This window comes from Homo sapiens, chromosome 2, assembly GCF_000001405.40.
Source record: "Homo sapiens chromosome 2, GRCh38.p14 Primary Assembly".
NCBI classification, from domain to species: Eukaryota; Metazoa; Chordata; class Mammalia; order Primates; family Hominidae; genus Homo; species Homo sapiens.
Window position 1 is genome coordinate 119130691 of NC_000002.12, and position 13665 is coordinate 119144355.

The 13665-nt window shown below is 49.4% G+C and overlaps 2 annotated features.

Moving 5' to 3' along the window:
* Window positions 3656–4156: an enhancer, noted in NCBI's record as "H3K4me1 hESC enhancer chr2:119891922-119892422 (GRCh37/hg19 assembly coordinates)". NCBI's record gives its function as "activates a minimal SCP1, AML or CMV promoter by ChIP-STARR-seq in primed H9 embryonic stem cells {active_cell/tissue: H9 hESC(primed)}" and the evidence as "EXISTENCE:reporter gene assay evidence [ECO:0000049][PMID:30033119]".
* Window positions 4157–4657: an enhancer, noted in NCBI's record as "H3K4me1 hESC enhancer chr2:119892423-119892923 (GRCh37/hg19 assembly coordinates)". NCBI's record gives its function as "activates a minimal SCP1, AML or CMV promoter by ChIP-STARR-seq in primed H9 embryonic stem cells {active_cell/tissue: H9 hESC(primed)}" and the evidence as "EXISTENCE:reporter gene assay evidence [ECO:0000049][PMID:30033119]".

A 13665-nucleotide genomic window follows, 5' to 3' on the forward strand; every position in this document is an offset into this window, starting at 1 on the left:
TCTGTTGCTATGCTAAGCACTTTGCATGTGGTATGTCTGATCCCCACGCAGCCCTTCACGGCTCATAGCACCATGTCCATTTTCAAGAAGAAAATTCAGAGGCTCAGGGAGGCTCAGATGCCTGCCCGTGTCTCTCAGCTTGTATGTGGCAGAGGCAGAGTTCAAGCCAGGGCGTGTTTGGCTCACACCAGGTTGACAGTATTTGAGCTCAGAGAAGTCCCCAGAAATGAAGAGGGTGTTATGCGTAGAGGAGGGTGCTGAGGATAATGCTAATTTCCCAGATGAGGAAGCTGAGACCTACAAACACTGCACTGCCCAGGGTCAGGTGACTTACCTTGATCTGTGTCCTGACCGTGGTAGGAACAGTGGTCACACAAATCTACACACATATTAAAATTCACAGAACTGCACCCCAAAGAAAGTCCACTTGACTGTATGATCATGTAAAAATATAATTAGTTTTTTAAAAAGCAATATGTCTGGCATGAGAAACATTTTAAGTAAAACACTAAACTAGGTCTCAGAAAATATTCTCATTTACCTTTCTAGAAAACTTTCACATGTATAAGTTTCCATATGTTATAGAGATCATTTGTAATATGTAGAGAAAAAAGCTGGGGAAATAAAAGACGTATTTATTAACTGTGGTCATCTCTGGGGCTAGGAATGAACTGGGAAGGGGTAAAGAAGGGTGTTTGTCTTTCATTCTGTATACATCTGTATTTGAATTTGTTCATATTGACTCAGGCGATACTCTCATTTAAAAAACAAAATAAAATAAAGGCCAGGCACGGTGGCTCACGCCTGTAATCCCAGCACTTTAGGAGACCAAGGTGGGCAGATCACAAGGTCAAGAGATCAAGACCATCTTGGCCAACATGGTGAAACCCCGTCTCTACTAAAAATACAAAAATTAGCTGGGCGTGGTGGTGCATGCCTTTAGTCCCAGCTACTCAGGAGGCTGAGGCAGGGGAATCGCTTGAACCTGGGAGGTGGAGGTTGCAGTGAGCCAAGATTGTGCCACTGCAACCCAGCCTGGTGACAGAGCAAGATTCTGTTTAAAAAAAAAAGAAAAAAAAAAAACTAAAGAAAAGTACAAGTAAGCACTCTCATTTGTCGTTTAATGTTTTAAAAATAAATGCTCTAGAGCTAGGATACATAGTGTTTGTCAATACCAGGGTGACTGCTGAGGCACCTGGAGAAGGGACTTCATGGATTGGGAAGAACGAGAATGAGGCTCGTGGGCAGTCAGGTATCCCAAGAGTCCCACTGTGCCAGTACCAAGAAAAGGGGCAAATCAACATTTACTGTCCACAGGCCTGTGTGCTGGGCAACATGAGAGTTTACAGGAGGCCCACGGAACCACTCATACCCGCGAGGAGGACCTGAGACTCTATTTGGGAGGACAAGGTGAACGTATAAAGAATGAGTAACAGGAGACTGAAGAGCAGGAATGGCAAGAGCCCTGCAGTTGTCTGGTCAGCATTTGTCCATGCCCACTGAGACAGGTGCCTCTGTGCCATTTCATCTACTCTAACAGTCCCACAAGGCAGCTGATATTCGTTCCATTTTATACACAGGAAGTGGAGGCCCTCTAAGGTTTAATATCCTGCCCACAGCCACACAGCCATGCAGTAGTGGGATCTGCATTCAAACCCTCTCTGAGGCCAAAGTCCATTCTCTTCACAGCGATTATTCTGGTCCACACAGTGACTCTTATCAAGTATCTCGTCCACGACACAGCCTGGAAGACTAGAGCTGTGCCTGCCCAGTGGATGAAACGTAGTTGTCCTTAGGATAATTAAAAGAAAAATAACAAAGTCCCATATCTTCCCCAAAGACCAATTAATAATTGGTTAGTATGTATAGAAAATACAAATACCCACTTCAAAGAACATAATTTAAGAAAAAGTATGCTGTAAAACTCCATACAGCATAATCACATTAAATATTAGTGAGTCAGGGAAACACAGATCTTCCAAGATATCTTAGAGATATCTAATTCCCCTTCAGGTGAGGAGATTGGGCTCAGAGAGGGCAACTGTTTAGTCTAAGTTGCACAGCAAGCAAGTTCCAGACCTAGCACTAGAGGCCAGCCTCCAGACCACTCAGAGTTTGCTTCACAACACGAGACCACCTGGAAGCAGTCAGGGGGCTGCCATCTCCCAGGCCCAAAACTTCCTCATCAGCCAAATCCAAATCCCCTACTTGCCTAGTATCATCATCTCAGTTCCTGACATTTGCTTAATCACCCTCATAGTGTTGAGCGGATGCCCAGCCGAGGCTTCTGATCTCAAACATGGCTCCCAGAAAAGATGACATGTTGCATTAATGTAAACTTCTTTAGACACTCTATCAAGAAAAAAAAAATGATGGCGTTGTGCTATACATATACTGGCATGAACCCCAGGACCACTGGGACGCATTTCCATTCACTTTGGTCTCCTCACAGCCCATCCCTCAGTCGGAGTGAGATGCTCATCTCTGGGACACGGATGAGCCCTGTTGTCTCAGCCGGGTGTCTGTGGAATCATGGGAAAGGCTCCATGTGGCCGCCCTGTGCACAGGAAGGCAGCCAGGCTGAGCGGACACAAACCCGCATGGGGAGGGCATTTTCTAGGCTGGTTGGCTGGAGGGTCTGCAGGCCACCTCAGAGCCTGGCTAGAGCAGAGTTCAGGATGCACGGCATCTTGGGTCCCCCACTGTGTGTCTGCATCCTCTTCCTCCAGGATCAAATCATAGACATTGATTCCAGGGCTTGAGAGAGAACAAGGAAGCTGGGTGGTGCCTGGGTGAGTCCCGGCTGAAGGGTGGATTATCCCCCTTAGAACGCCTAGGGAAGTGCCTCCCATGAATGCTTTGGAAGCTTTGTTGAGCCTGTTTTGTTCTTGACCCTTGGTTACCTTCTTATTCAGTCGCCAGCTCCATTTTGTTCTATCAGGTTGCATGGGAATTTTGCCACCAGCATGACCATCAGCAGCATCTTCAGCAGCAGCATGTTGTTCAGGCACTGCCTTGGAAATGGCAAGACTTGCCTGGGCTCCGGTCCTGTCCCTGCCACTTCCTGCTGTGCATGCCCGGCCAGTGCACATCATTGCTCAGCCTCCTCCCAGTGCTATAGGAAAAAGGGTGCTTAGGAAGTGGAAGCTCGTGGCACTGTGAAAAATGCCACTGATTGGCTTAGTCAGTTCTGGCTACCATAACAAAATGCCACAGACTGGGTGACTTACACAGCAGACATTTATTTTCCCACAGCTCTGGAGGCTGGAAAGTCCAAACTGAGGTGCCGGCTGATTCTGTTTCTGGCCAGGGTCTGGCGAGGGTCCTGGCGTGCAGATGACAGTCTTCTCACTGTGTTCTCACATGGCAGAGAGAGTGTGAGAGAGACTAGTGACTCTTAACCAGTATGACACTCTTTTCCTATAAGGGCACTAATCCTATAGGATCATGACCCCACCATTCTGACATCATTGAAACTTAATTACCCCTTTATAACCCTTATCTCCAACTACAGTCACATTGGGGGAATTACGAACTTAAGACCTCGGGGAGGAACATGATTCAGTCCATAGCACTGATGAAAGAACACACGGGACTTCTCTGACATCTCAGTTTCCAAGAGGAGGAGGAGGATCAATGTCTTCCTCTGGAGATAGCCAGTGGTCTCCTGTATTCTCCTGTTGTTCTTTTCTGCTCCTTTGTGGGACTGGGTAGGGCTGTTGGTTCGCTGGCTAGGATTTGCTGAAAAGCAGTTGCCTCATGGCCAAAGGCCACCAACAGCGGTCAAGACTGGCACACCAGTTTCCTTCTCCCCATCAGTCTCCCTCCCAGCATAGACTCTGGGAAGATCTGGGTAAAAGCAGCCAGAGTCCTTCCCAGAACACTATTTCCTGGGTCAGGGTCTCTCTGTGACCAAGGGCTGTGGAGCCCAAACCACAGCCCTCATTCCAGCTCCTCAGCTCCACTCCCCCTCTCCACCTGCACCCCAATTTCACAAACACCAGCTCAGCCCCTACTGTGTGCACGAGCCCGTTGTGGGCTCCATGATTCCTGGTCTCTCCCATGGTTTGAGCCGACGCCCCCTAGCCTGAGCCCGGAGGGACTCTATTGCATCAGGCAGTGGAGGAGAGGAGGCAGATGCCTCAGGGAGCACCCGCCTCACCCCCAGAAGCCTCTGGCTGTGCCTCCTGCCAGGGCTTGGAGCATCAGTTCAATCCATGGGCGGGGTGAGGGCGGGGGCCTGCAGGGCCTGACTCCATATTGAAGTGCACTCCCTGCCGCGCGCCGTCGCTGGACAGCTCCCATTCAGCATCTGGGGCAGGAGTCCTTGTGCTGCCAGCTCCTAACAAGGGCACTAATTTCTGAATGCTTACTTGATGACTTTAATTGAAAAATAAAACCACCCAAAGCTGAGTAATTAAAATCTCCCTGTCCGGATTTACAGCATTAAGATAGAGGTTAAATAGCTCCTCCTCCCCTTCTCTCCCCAAATCTTGGCATCGGCCGTGTTCCTCTGGGCAGGAAGCACACAGGCTCCACAGACGACCAGTGGCTTTTCTCACCCCCTCCCTACTTCCTTTCCAGATTCTGGAACGTGCAGCTGAGGGGACACTCACTCATTCAATCCCTTCATTAATTCATTCTCTCTGTGAATACTTACTCTGTGCTGGGGGCTGTCCAGGCTCAGTGGAGGCAGCAGGAACTGACAGATGCATCTCCTTGCTGTGCCATGGGACTGCGGCTGCCTCACAATCCGGGGACCTTGGCTGTCAGAAGTGGGTGGACCCTTCCAGCTCACCTGGTCCAACTCCTCATTATACAGAGCTCATGGGGCAGGGGTGCCCCTCACCCCCATTCATCCCTGAGCAGCTGATCCGTGGCTAGCGACCACCACCCCCCATCCCTTCTCCCCAGCCTCACAGAGGTAGTGGCAGCTTCAAGTCCCCCTGACACCCAACCTGAGGTCTCCCCCTTGCCCTTCCCACCCCCTCTCCCTCACTCAAAGCGGTTTCTCTGTGATCCTGGATAAAATTATCAGCATCTTCCATGCCCCCAGGTGTAAGTTCCCTGCAGTCAGCTCTACTCCCTGAGCTGGCCACACTCACTGGCTGTCTTGAGGGTGACAGACACAGCCCCGCCAGGGATTTCATGACAGGAGCACCCAGGGCCTGTTCCTGGATCCATCATCCCATCCTGAGGCCTCAGCCCTTGCCTTTCTGTGGGGTGGGAGAAAGGCATGGGCTTGAACTTCGGTTCTGCGGTTATTTGCTTTGGGCCTTTAGACAGATCACAACCTTGCTGTGCCTTGGTTTGTTCACATGTAATATGGAGATCATAATGGGGTCATTTCGAGCATTGAATAGTGGAATACATGTGAGCTCTTTTCTCCATCTCCTGTAGGTAGCCTACAAGCCCTAGCAGGGGCTCGGGTCACAGCAGGTACTCAGGACTGGGGACTGAATGACCAAGCTGGGCTAGGATGAGGCTGCACAAGCCCAGCAGGCTGGCTGCGGAGCATTCGGCAGACTGCAGGCAGGTGCTTCTTGGGCACGCCCTCTCTGGCCCACTCCCTCTCCAGGACACTTCCTGTCCCTGGCACAGACAGTGAGAGCATCACTCCTTCCTGGCCAGCCGGGTGGTGACTGTGCTCTCCTCTCTGGTGACTCATCAGTCTCTGGCCTGCTGGGGTCAGCTCTGTCCCTGCCCATGGCCCCTCAGGTTGTACAAATCGTCAGGAGATTGGGGAGCCTTCGACCTTCTCTGTCAAGGCCTGTCCCACATCCCAGGCCCTCCTCCTTCCAGGATTTCTTACCTCCATCCCCCCCGCCCTTCCCCTGTTTACCCATCATGAGGCAACCTCCACTTCTAGCTGTGTGTCACCAGAAGTGGGGTGAATGCTGCTTCTTAAATCCAGAAGTCACCCCAGGGCAGTAAAGTTCAGTATCACAAAGCCCAGGGAGTCCACCTGAGAGACCCAGGGAAAGCCAGTACGGGTGGAGAGGGGGTAATGTCGGGGAGAGTGGTGGGTGGAGAGGGGGTAATGTCGGGGAGAGTGGTGGGTGGAGAGGGGGTAATGTCGGGGAGAGTGGTGGGTGGAGAGGGGGTAATGTCGGGGAGAGTGGTGGGTGGAGAGGGGGTAATGTCGGGGAGAGTGGTGGGTGGAGAGGGGGTAATGTCGGGGAGAGTGGTGAGGCAGTCTGGGCAGGTCGGGGAGAGGCTGGTGTCCTAGAGACAGAGCTGGTGGATATGCCTCTGTGGGGCAGCAGATGGGGGGCCCTTGGAGGAAAGGGAGGGGCAGTGCCAAGGTAGTGCCAGGTGCTGTGAGCCAGACAGGTTGCGGTAGTGGGGAACTAGAGGAGCAGAAAAGAAAGTGGGAGCTACTGCAGACATCGGAGTGAGTGAAAACTGGAGGCCTGGCAGAGGGCGATGGCTGTGGGGATGGAAAGAACAAGATAGGTGTGAGGGTGTCTACGAGAAGGGCCGTGTAATCCAGGACACTGAAGACTCGGAGCTGCAGGGGCCAAACACTGTGGGGTGCATGGGGGTCCCGAAGGAGGGGCTGCTTTGGAGAAAGGAGAGAGGAAGAAGCAGGTTGTGCTGGTGCCCTTTCCTCCTTCAAAGCAGTGTCATTCCCACGGTGTCCAAACTCACCAGTAAACATTCAGGACTTTTATGAGCCAGAAAACCAATCACAAAAGCTATTTCCAATAAAGAAAAATAAAAGGAACATTCCCCTCCCCCCATTTGCTTATAGATATTAGCTTCGGAAAGTCTGATACTTTAAAAAAATCTCCATGGAATTATGGAAGAAACAGGCAAAATGAAAAATGTGTCCTATCCAGTTTGTAACTAAAATGTCAGCACCCTGGCAGAGGGGACAAGCAGAGCTGGGAGAGCCAGGCCTTTCTCTTCCCGCCACACAGGGGGACCCCCAGCAGGGCGGGACAGACCTGAAGGTTCCATACCTGCTGCACTGCCGTGGATGGAAGCCACCTCGCCACGACTCATGGAGCACGAGTCACAAGTCCCACGTGGGTGTAAGCATCTCCTCCTCCTCGGGTCAGAGCTGCTCAGGTCAGCCACAGTGGCCAGAGAGGGCAGGTGGAAGGCCGCCACCACCCACGCAGGCCTCAGTCTTCCTCAACACTGGGGAGCTCTGGCCTCCAGAAGGTGGGAGACACAGACTGAGTGGACGCAGTGTGATCAGCACTGACGTTGAGGGTCTGTGGGAGCTAGAATGGAATCCAGCCCTGTGGCTAGCAGGGAGGGTTTCCTGGAGGAGGGGAAGTTTGAAGGACAAGTAGAGGGGCCAGTTTGAAGGAAAAGTAGAAGGTGAGCAAGTGAGTAGGGTGAGGCTTTCCAAGCAGTAGTGGCTGGCTTGGGACAAAAGCACTGAGGAGTTACGGTGTGGCATGAAAGTCAGGAAAATGGAAATGTCATTGGTTTGGCCTGACTGGCACATGGGAGTATCAGGGGATGGGGAAAAGGATGGAAGGGCCCTAGTGCAGTGGCTCATGCCTATAATCCTAGCACTTTGGGAGGCCGAGGTTAGAGGATTGCTTGAGCCCAGGAGTTCAAGGCCAGCCTGGGCAACATAGCGAAACCCTCTCTCTACAAAAAATACAAAAATTAGCCAGGTGTGGTGGCATGCACCTGTAGTCCCAGCTACTTGCAGGCTGAGGCCAAAGGATCTATTGAGCCCAGGAGTTCAAGGCTGCAGTGAGCTGTAATCACACCACTGCGCTTTAGCCTGGGTGACAAAACAAGATCCTATCTCAAAAATTTTGTAGAAAAAAGTTTAAAAAAGGATGGAAGGGTCAGTAGGGGCAGGTCACAAGGACCTATGTGCCAGCTAAAAGACTTGGACCTTCACCTTGGAGGTGATAGGGAGTTCTTGGTGACTCTTAAAGGACAGTGAGGGGGTGGAAATAACACAGCTAGTTCTGCACTACCCAGAGGCCATGGGCTGCTGTCCTGAGCCGTTTTCTTAGCCACAGTGTCAGGAACTGCCAGGACCTACTGGATGATTGAGATGAGGTGTGTGTGTGTGTGTGTGTGTGTGTGTGTGTGTGTGTGTGTGTGTGTGTGCTTATTTTCTATTGCTGTGCTCACTAACTTGGTGGCTTAAAAGAATAGACATTTATTCTTATAGTTCTGGAGGCCAGAAGTCTGAACTGAGTTTTATGGAGCTAAAATCCAGGTGTGGGCAGTGCTGCTTTCTTCACAGGAGCATCTGCTCTGAATGTCCCAGCTCGTAGCTGCCTCACTCTCATCTCTGCTTCCATGGTCACATGGCTTTCTCTTCTGTGCCAAATCTCCCGCTGCCTCCTTCTTATAAGGATTCTAGTGATGGTATTGTACCCACTTGGATGCCCAAGATAATCTCCTCAACTCAAATTCTTAGCTTAGTTACACCTACAAAGTCCTTTTTTTCCGATAAAGTGACATTTACAGGCTCTGGTTTTCCAGGAATGAGAACATGGACATCTTTGGGAGAATTATTCACCTACTAGAGTGTGTCATTTATTAGGCACCCACTGAGTGCCAGGCTGTGGGCTGTGGATTCTGCCATGGGCGGGTAAAAAAGCAAGCATGGTGTTTGCCTTTGTGGAGTCTTGGAGCTGACGTGGGGGACTGGGTCTGTCATGAGTGAGGAAGGAGGGACATGATCATGCCGTTCCCCTGGGCACCTGGGTGGCATGCCATCATGTGCACTGGAGAGGAGGAGCAGGTTGTGGGTGTGAGTGAGGAATTAGGAGAAGAGGGATAGTCAACGTACTTAGAAAACTGAGGCCATTGCACTGGCCAATCAGAAGAGACTCAGAGCAGGAGCATGGATCTCAAGGACCCCGATTGTGCCAGTGGTTAACCCTTTAGCTGCTGCAGCACAGGGAGGTCCAGGAGTCCTGGGGGAGAGGCCAAGGCAGCTTTGGGGTGACTCAGGGCAGTGGCAATTCACTAATCAGTATGGAAGTATTTAAATAAAATACATAAATATCTTAACTGAACAATATGGCCAACTGACTATCATCGCTGGGTGAGGGGGATCCAGGCGTTTGTTTTGAGCTTGTTGACAGTGGAGTGGCAGTTGAAATGCTGAATGGAGCTGCGCAGAGGACTGGGAACAGAGGTTTCTAGCATGAGGGTGGGCGCAGTGTGTATGGTGGAGAGGCTGGCATCCCCCCTCCAAACCCGCCATCCGAATACCTGGAAGAGTGCGTCATTGAAACCGGCTCTTCTTCTGAGGCATTGATGGAGTGTGAACAATTCTGTCGCCTTCCTTTCTTTCTCCTTAACTTTCTCCTAAGCATTTCTGTATTTTTCTTAAAAGCCCTTTTATTAGAGAATAGAATGCAACCGTCATGTAACTGCATTTACTGGAGCCAGCTCTCAGGACTGCAAATCTGCCTGTGCCTGGGCTGGCTCATTTGCCCCTCTACTGTGACTCTGGGGCCAGAAGGGGGCCTCAAGCCCCAGGTCTTAGCTACTCTGGAAGCATGGAGGGGGATTCCAGTATCACTCATTCCAACAGAGAACTAGAGCTCTCCGTGCAGATAATGATACAGGAAAAAGAAAGAAATTGAAATTCCAGACAATTTGACTTCCTTTCAAAGTGATGACAGAAACAAGCTTCCTGATCTAAACCAAACTGGGAAGTTCCCACCCACTTTGTTGCTGGCTAAACTGAGACCCAGAACTGTACACTTGAACCGATTTTACAGTGTTTGCAATGAAGGTTGATCTTCTGGTCTCTTAGGTGCAATCTGTGAATCCTGTCTGCGTTTGTTTAGGCCATGCATTCACGCTAAAACATATCTGAGCATACCACGTGTGAGTCAAGCTGTCATAGTTAATTCTCCATAAATTTCTCTTCCTTTACTTCCAGCTACTGTGGCATTGAAATCACTCCAGAGTGTTCACAATCTCTGAGTAAAGCCCTTACGTACTATACGATGATCTGACTTTTGTCATATTGGCATGGGGGGGAGGGCCAACAAGCCTGAGTCTCCAGCATATTGGAAACCAGCTCCTGGTGTCTACAGCTCCTCTTATATCCCAGAACAGTGTCATGCCTCTAAGGGCACTCCACATGCATTCCCTCCACAAGCGTTTATAAAGTGTCTCCTCTACAAGTGGGCAGGAAATAAAATGCCAAATGTAGATGCAAACTCCCTGCCCTCCAGGAACTTACTCTCAAGTGAGGAAGATGGACATTAAGCAAATGAAGAAACAGCAGTGCAGGAGTAAGAGCTGTAAAGAAAACTGAAGCTAGGGAAGGGGATGGAGCAATAGAATGTGCTATGAGAGATGAGAAGGTGAGAGCAGGCCTCTTTGAGGGGATGCCATGTCAGCAGAGACCTGAGTAAAATAAGCAGCGTATGCGGGGAGCGGTGGCAATACTTGGGGAAAGAGTATTCCAGAGAGAGCAGCAGCAAGAGCAGGCCCTGAGCAGGAGAGCACTTGCTTAGCTGTGAAATATCAGGAAGGCCAGTGCCCCCAGAGCAGTGGAGAAAAGAGGCTATACTGGTGGGTAGTGCTGGACAGCAGAGATAATGCCATGAATGAATGAACGAGTAGGACTCAGGACAATGGAATTGAACTCAGGCTTCGCCAGCTACATGATCTTGAGCAAGTCACTCTAACCTTCTGTCTCCCATTCCTCGTGTGTAAAATGGGAATCATCATAGGTACTGAACTCATTGAAATGAGAATTATGCCCCCAAAGAGTCTAGACTAGAAATCAAGACTTGATTTGGAGAACCTATTCTGCCATTTGCTGGCTTGAGCAGCTCACATCACCTCTCTGAGCCTCTGTTTTCTCATCTATAAAATGGGAATTATGGGGCCCACCCTGCCAATCTCAGAGGGCTGGTTAAAATCACATGGTCCCTGTGGGAAAGGCTCGTAACCTGCATATGTCAAACATATACTGGGGCTTGTTGAATACCTATGGGTGAGTGAGGCCTGAAGTTCCCACCCAGTGGGCCCAGGTAGGAGGCTCCCACTTCCCTGTCAGCTCTTTCTGGGGCAGCTCCTCCTCCCCAGTTCCTCCCCTCAGTGTGTTTTGGTTCCTGTTTGTTTCTTGGCCCCTGTGTCCTGCAGCACTCACACAGAATCCCACTTGCCCTGTAGGAAACGTGGTGCTCATTCCTTAGCGGGGAAGGGAACCATCCTGCCCTCCTCCACGGATGCTCCATACCATGTCCTGAAGATCTTTCAGCAAGGACATCCAGCCTCGCCTCTCCCCTGCTTCCAGCCCTTCGGTGGTTCCCCATCCCTTCAGATGAACATCTCAGCTCTCTCACAGGTCACACAAGGTCATATGGCCCCCACTGGACTTTCCAGTCTCCCACTTGCTAGTCTTTGGCTACAAAAAAAAAAATGTAACTTCTCTGCATGGTACTAAGTCTTATGCCTCCACACCTTTGTATATACCATTTCTTTTGCCTGAAATGCCCTGTCCTGTGCCCCTAACTGCTACTCAATTACCCAGAGGACTCCTATTTATCCTACAAAACCCAGTATAGATTTCACTTTTGGGAACAAGCCTTCCTGGATTGTGTGTTCTCTCCTTCACAATGATGTTGGCCCTTTCTTCTGCTATGCTTCCCTAGATCTTGTATGTGCATGTCCCTTTGTCTTCACACCATGATGCCCCTTGATGCGACTGTCCCTCCACCAGACCATGCATGAGCTCCTTAAACGCAGTATCTAAATCATCTCTGCTTCCCCAGAACTTACTACAGGGCCTGGCACACTGTAGATGGCCATGAAAGTTTTATTAAGAAGAAATAAAAGACATACTGGAGGAGACAGCCTTTCTGCCCCCAAACTCAAAGCGATTTACAGCCATCTCCCTAAACTGGACAGGTGTGTGTTTGGTGTCTTCTCCAACCTGCTATATGTGACAGCTTTGAAGTGAGAGAACTTCCAGTTGCCTACATTTTGAACTTAGTGAATATTACAAATGATCACATTAGTGAGATAAGCATTTTGGAGGCACTTTTATTGACCCACCTAAGAAAGGCTCTAAATGTATGCCCCAAAAACGGAGACTAGTGATTTTGCAGCCTCACAAATGGCCCACATTAGGTAGGAAGTTAATTTGATTTGCATGTCAAAGGAGCGTTATCTGGTACCTGATGTAAGACTAATTTTATTATTAAATTATCAACACTGATTTACTGAGAAATACGGTACTGCCGGGAGCTATTTTTAACCTCCCACCTCAGCCCCACTCAGCAAACAAATCATTCTTTGAAGGACACTGCATTTGCAAAAGCGAATTAGGTGAATAAATATCCATCTATTCATGAAGTTTCTTTATTGAGAAATAAATAAATAACAGCCCCTGAATGCCTTCATTGTCCGCCTGGCAGGTTTCCACGACGTTGACAGTGGGCACGGCGGAAAGGGCCACTGTTTGAAGTGCCAGTCCAAGAGTGAGTGGAGAGGCGCTGGCTTGGGTTCCCACCTGGGAACTGTGTGAGGCCCCGGGGCCTGGGCCAGGGCGGGGGGATTGGTAATGTCTCACCCACCCCAGGCACGAGGGCAATGGATAGGCCTGGTCCAGCTCACTGCCTGGAACATCCCACGCTCAGCGCAGAGGACACAAGCTCAACTGAAACCCGGGTGTCTTCGTTCTCCCACTTACTATTGCTGGGACCTTGACCGAGTTACTTAACCTTTTCGTGTCTCAGTTTTCTCATATACAAAATGGGGATAATTTCTATCATTTTGTGGTGGTTGGGAGGATTAAATGAGATACATAACACATATAAAGCACCTGGAAAAGTTCCTGCCACATAGCAAGAACCCAGTGTGTGTTTCTTATTGTTCTAGTCTGCATCGTTATTGGGATAGGGAGAAAGGTAAGAACAGAAGTGTCCCTCAGGGGCAGCCATAAAATATCTTGGAGGAGCATGGGCCTTACAGTCAGACCTAGGTTCCATTCCAGCTCCACCTGGCAGAGCTGTGTGTCTCTGGGCAAACTACTCAACCTTTCTGTTCTTCAGATTCCAAATCAATGAGACAAGCATAATCACACCTACCACTGCAGGAGAAAATGAGATCATGAGCGTAAGCTCTGTAACATGGTGCCCGGCACTGAGTAAATGATCAATACACAATGGATGTTTAGTAACAGGAGAGTTACTCTTATCAAGATTAATACAGTCAATTATTCCATTCCTTGAACACATTCTTAGTGCTTCCTAGTCCCTCTTTCTTCCTTTTTCTCTCAAAACCTGGTGATCGTCTGTGATAAAATGAGAAGAATCACAACTCAATAAAGTGGTTTAAAAAAATCAGAAAAAGAAAAAGAATCCTCTCTAAAGGATCCTGACTGATGCCATTGTTATTTAAACATTGATATTCCCTGAAGTAACCCAGGAATGGAAAACTAAATGCCTCCTGTTCTCACCTATAAGTGGGAGCTAAGCTATGGGTGCGCAAAGGCATACAGACATACGTATAACTGACATTGGAGACTCAGAAGGGGGAGCGAGGGATGGAGAGAGGATAAAAAATCTACATATGGGGTACAATGTATACTACTAGGGTGATGGGTGCATGCAAATCTCAGACTCCACTCCTATACAATTCATCTGTGCAACCAAAATCCACTTGTACCCCCAAAGCTACTGAAATTTTAAAAATATATTA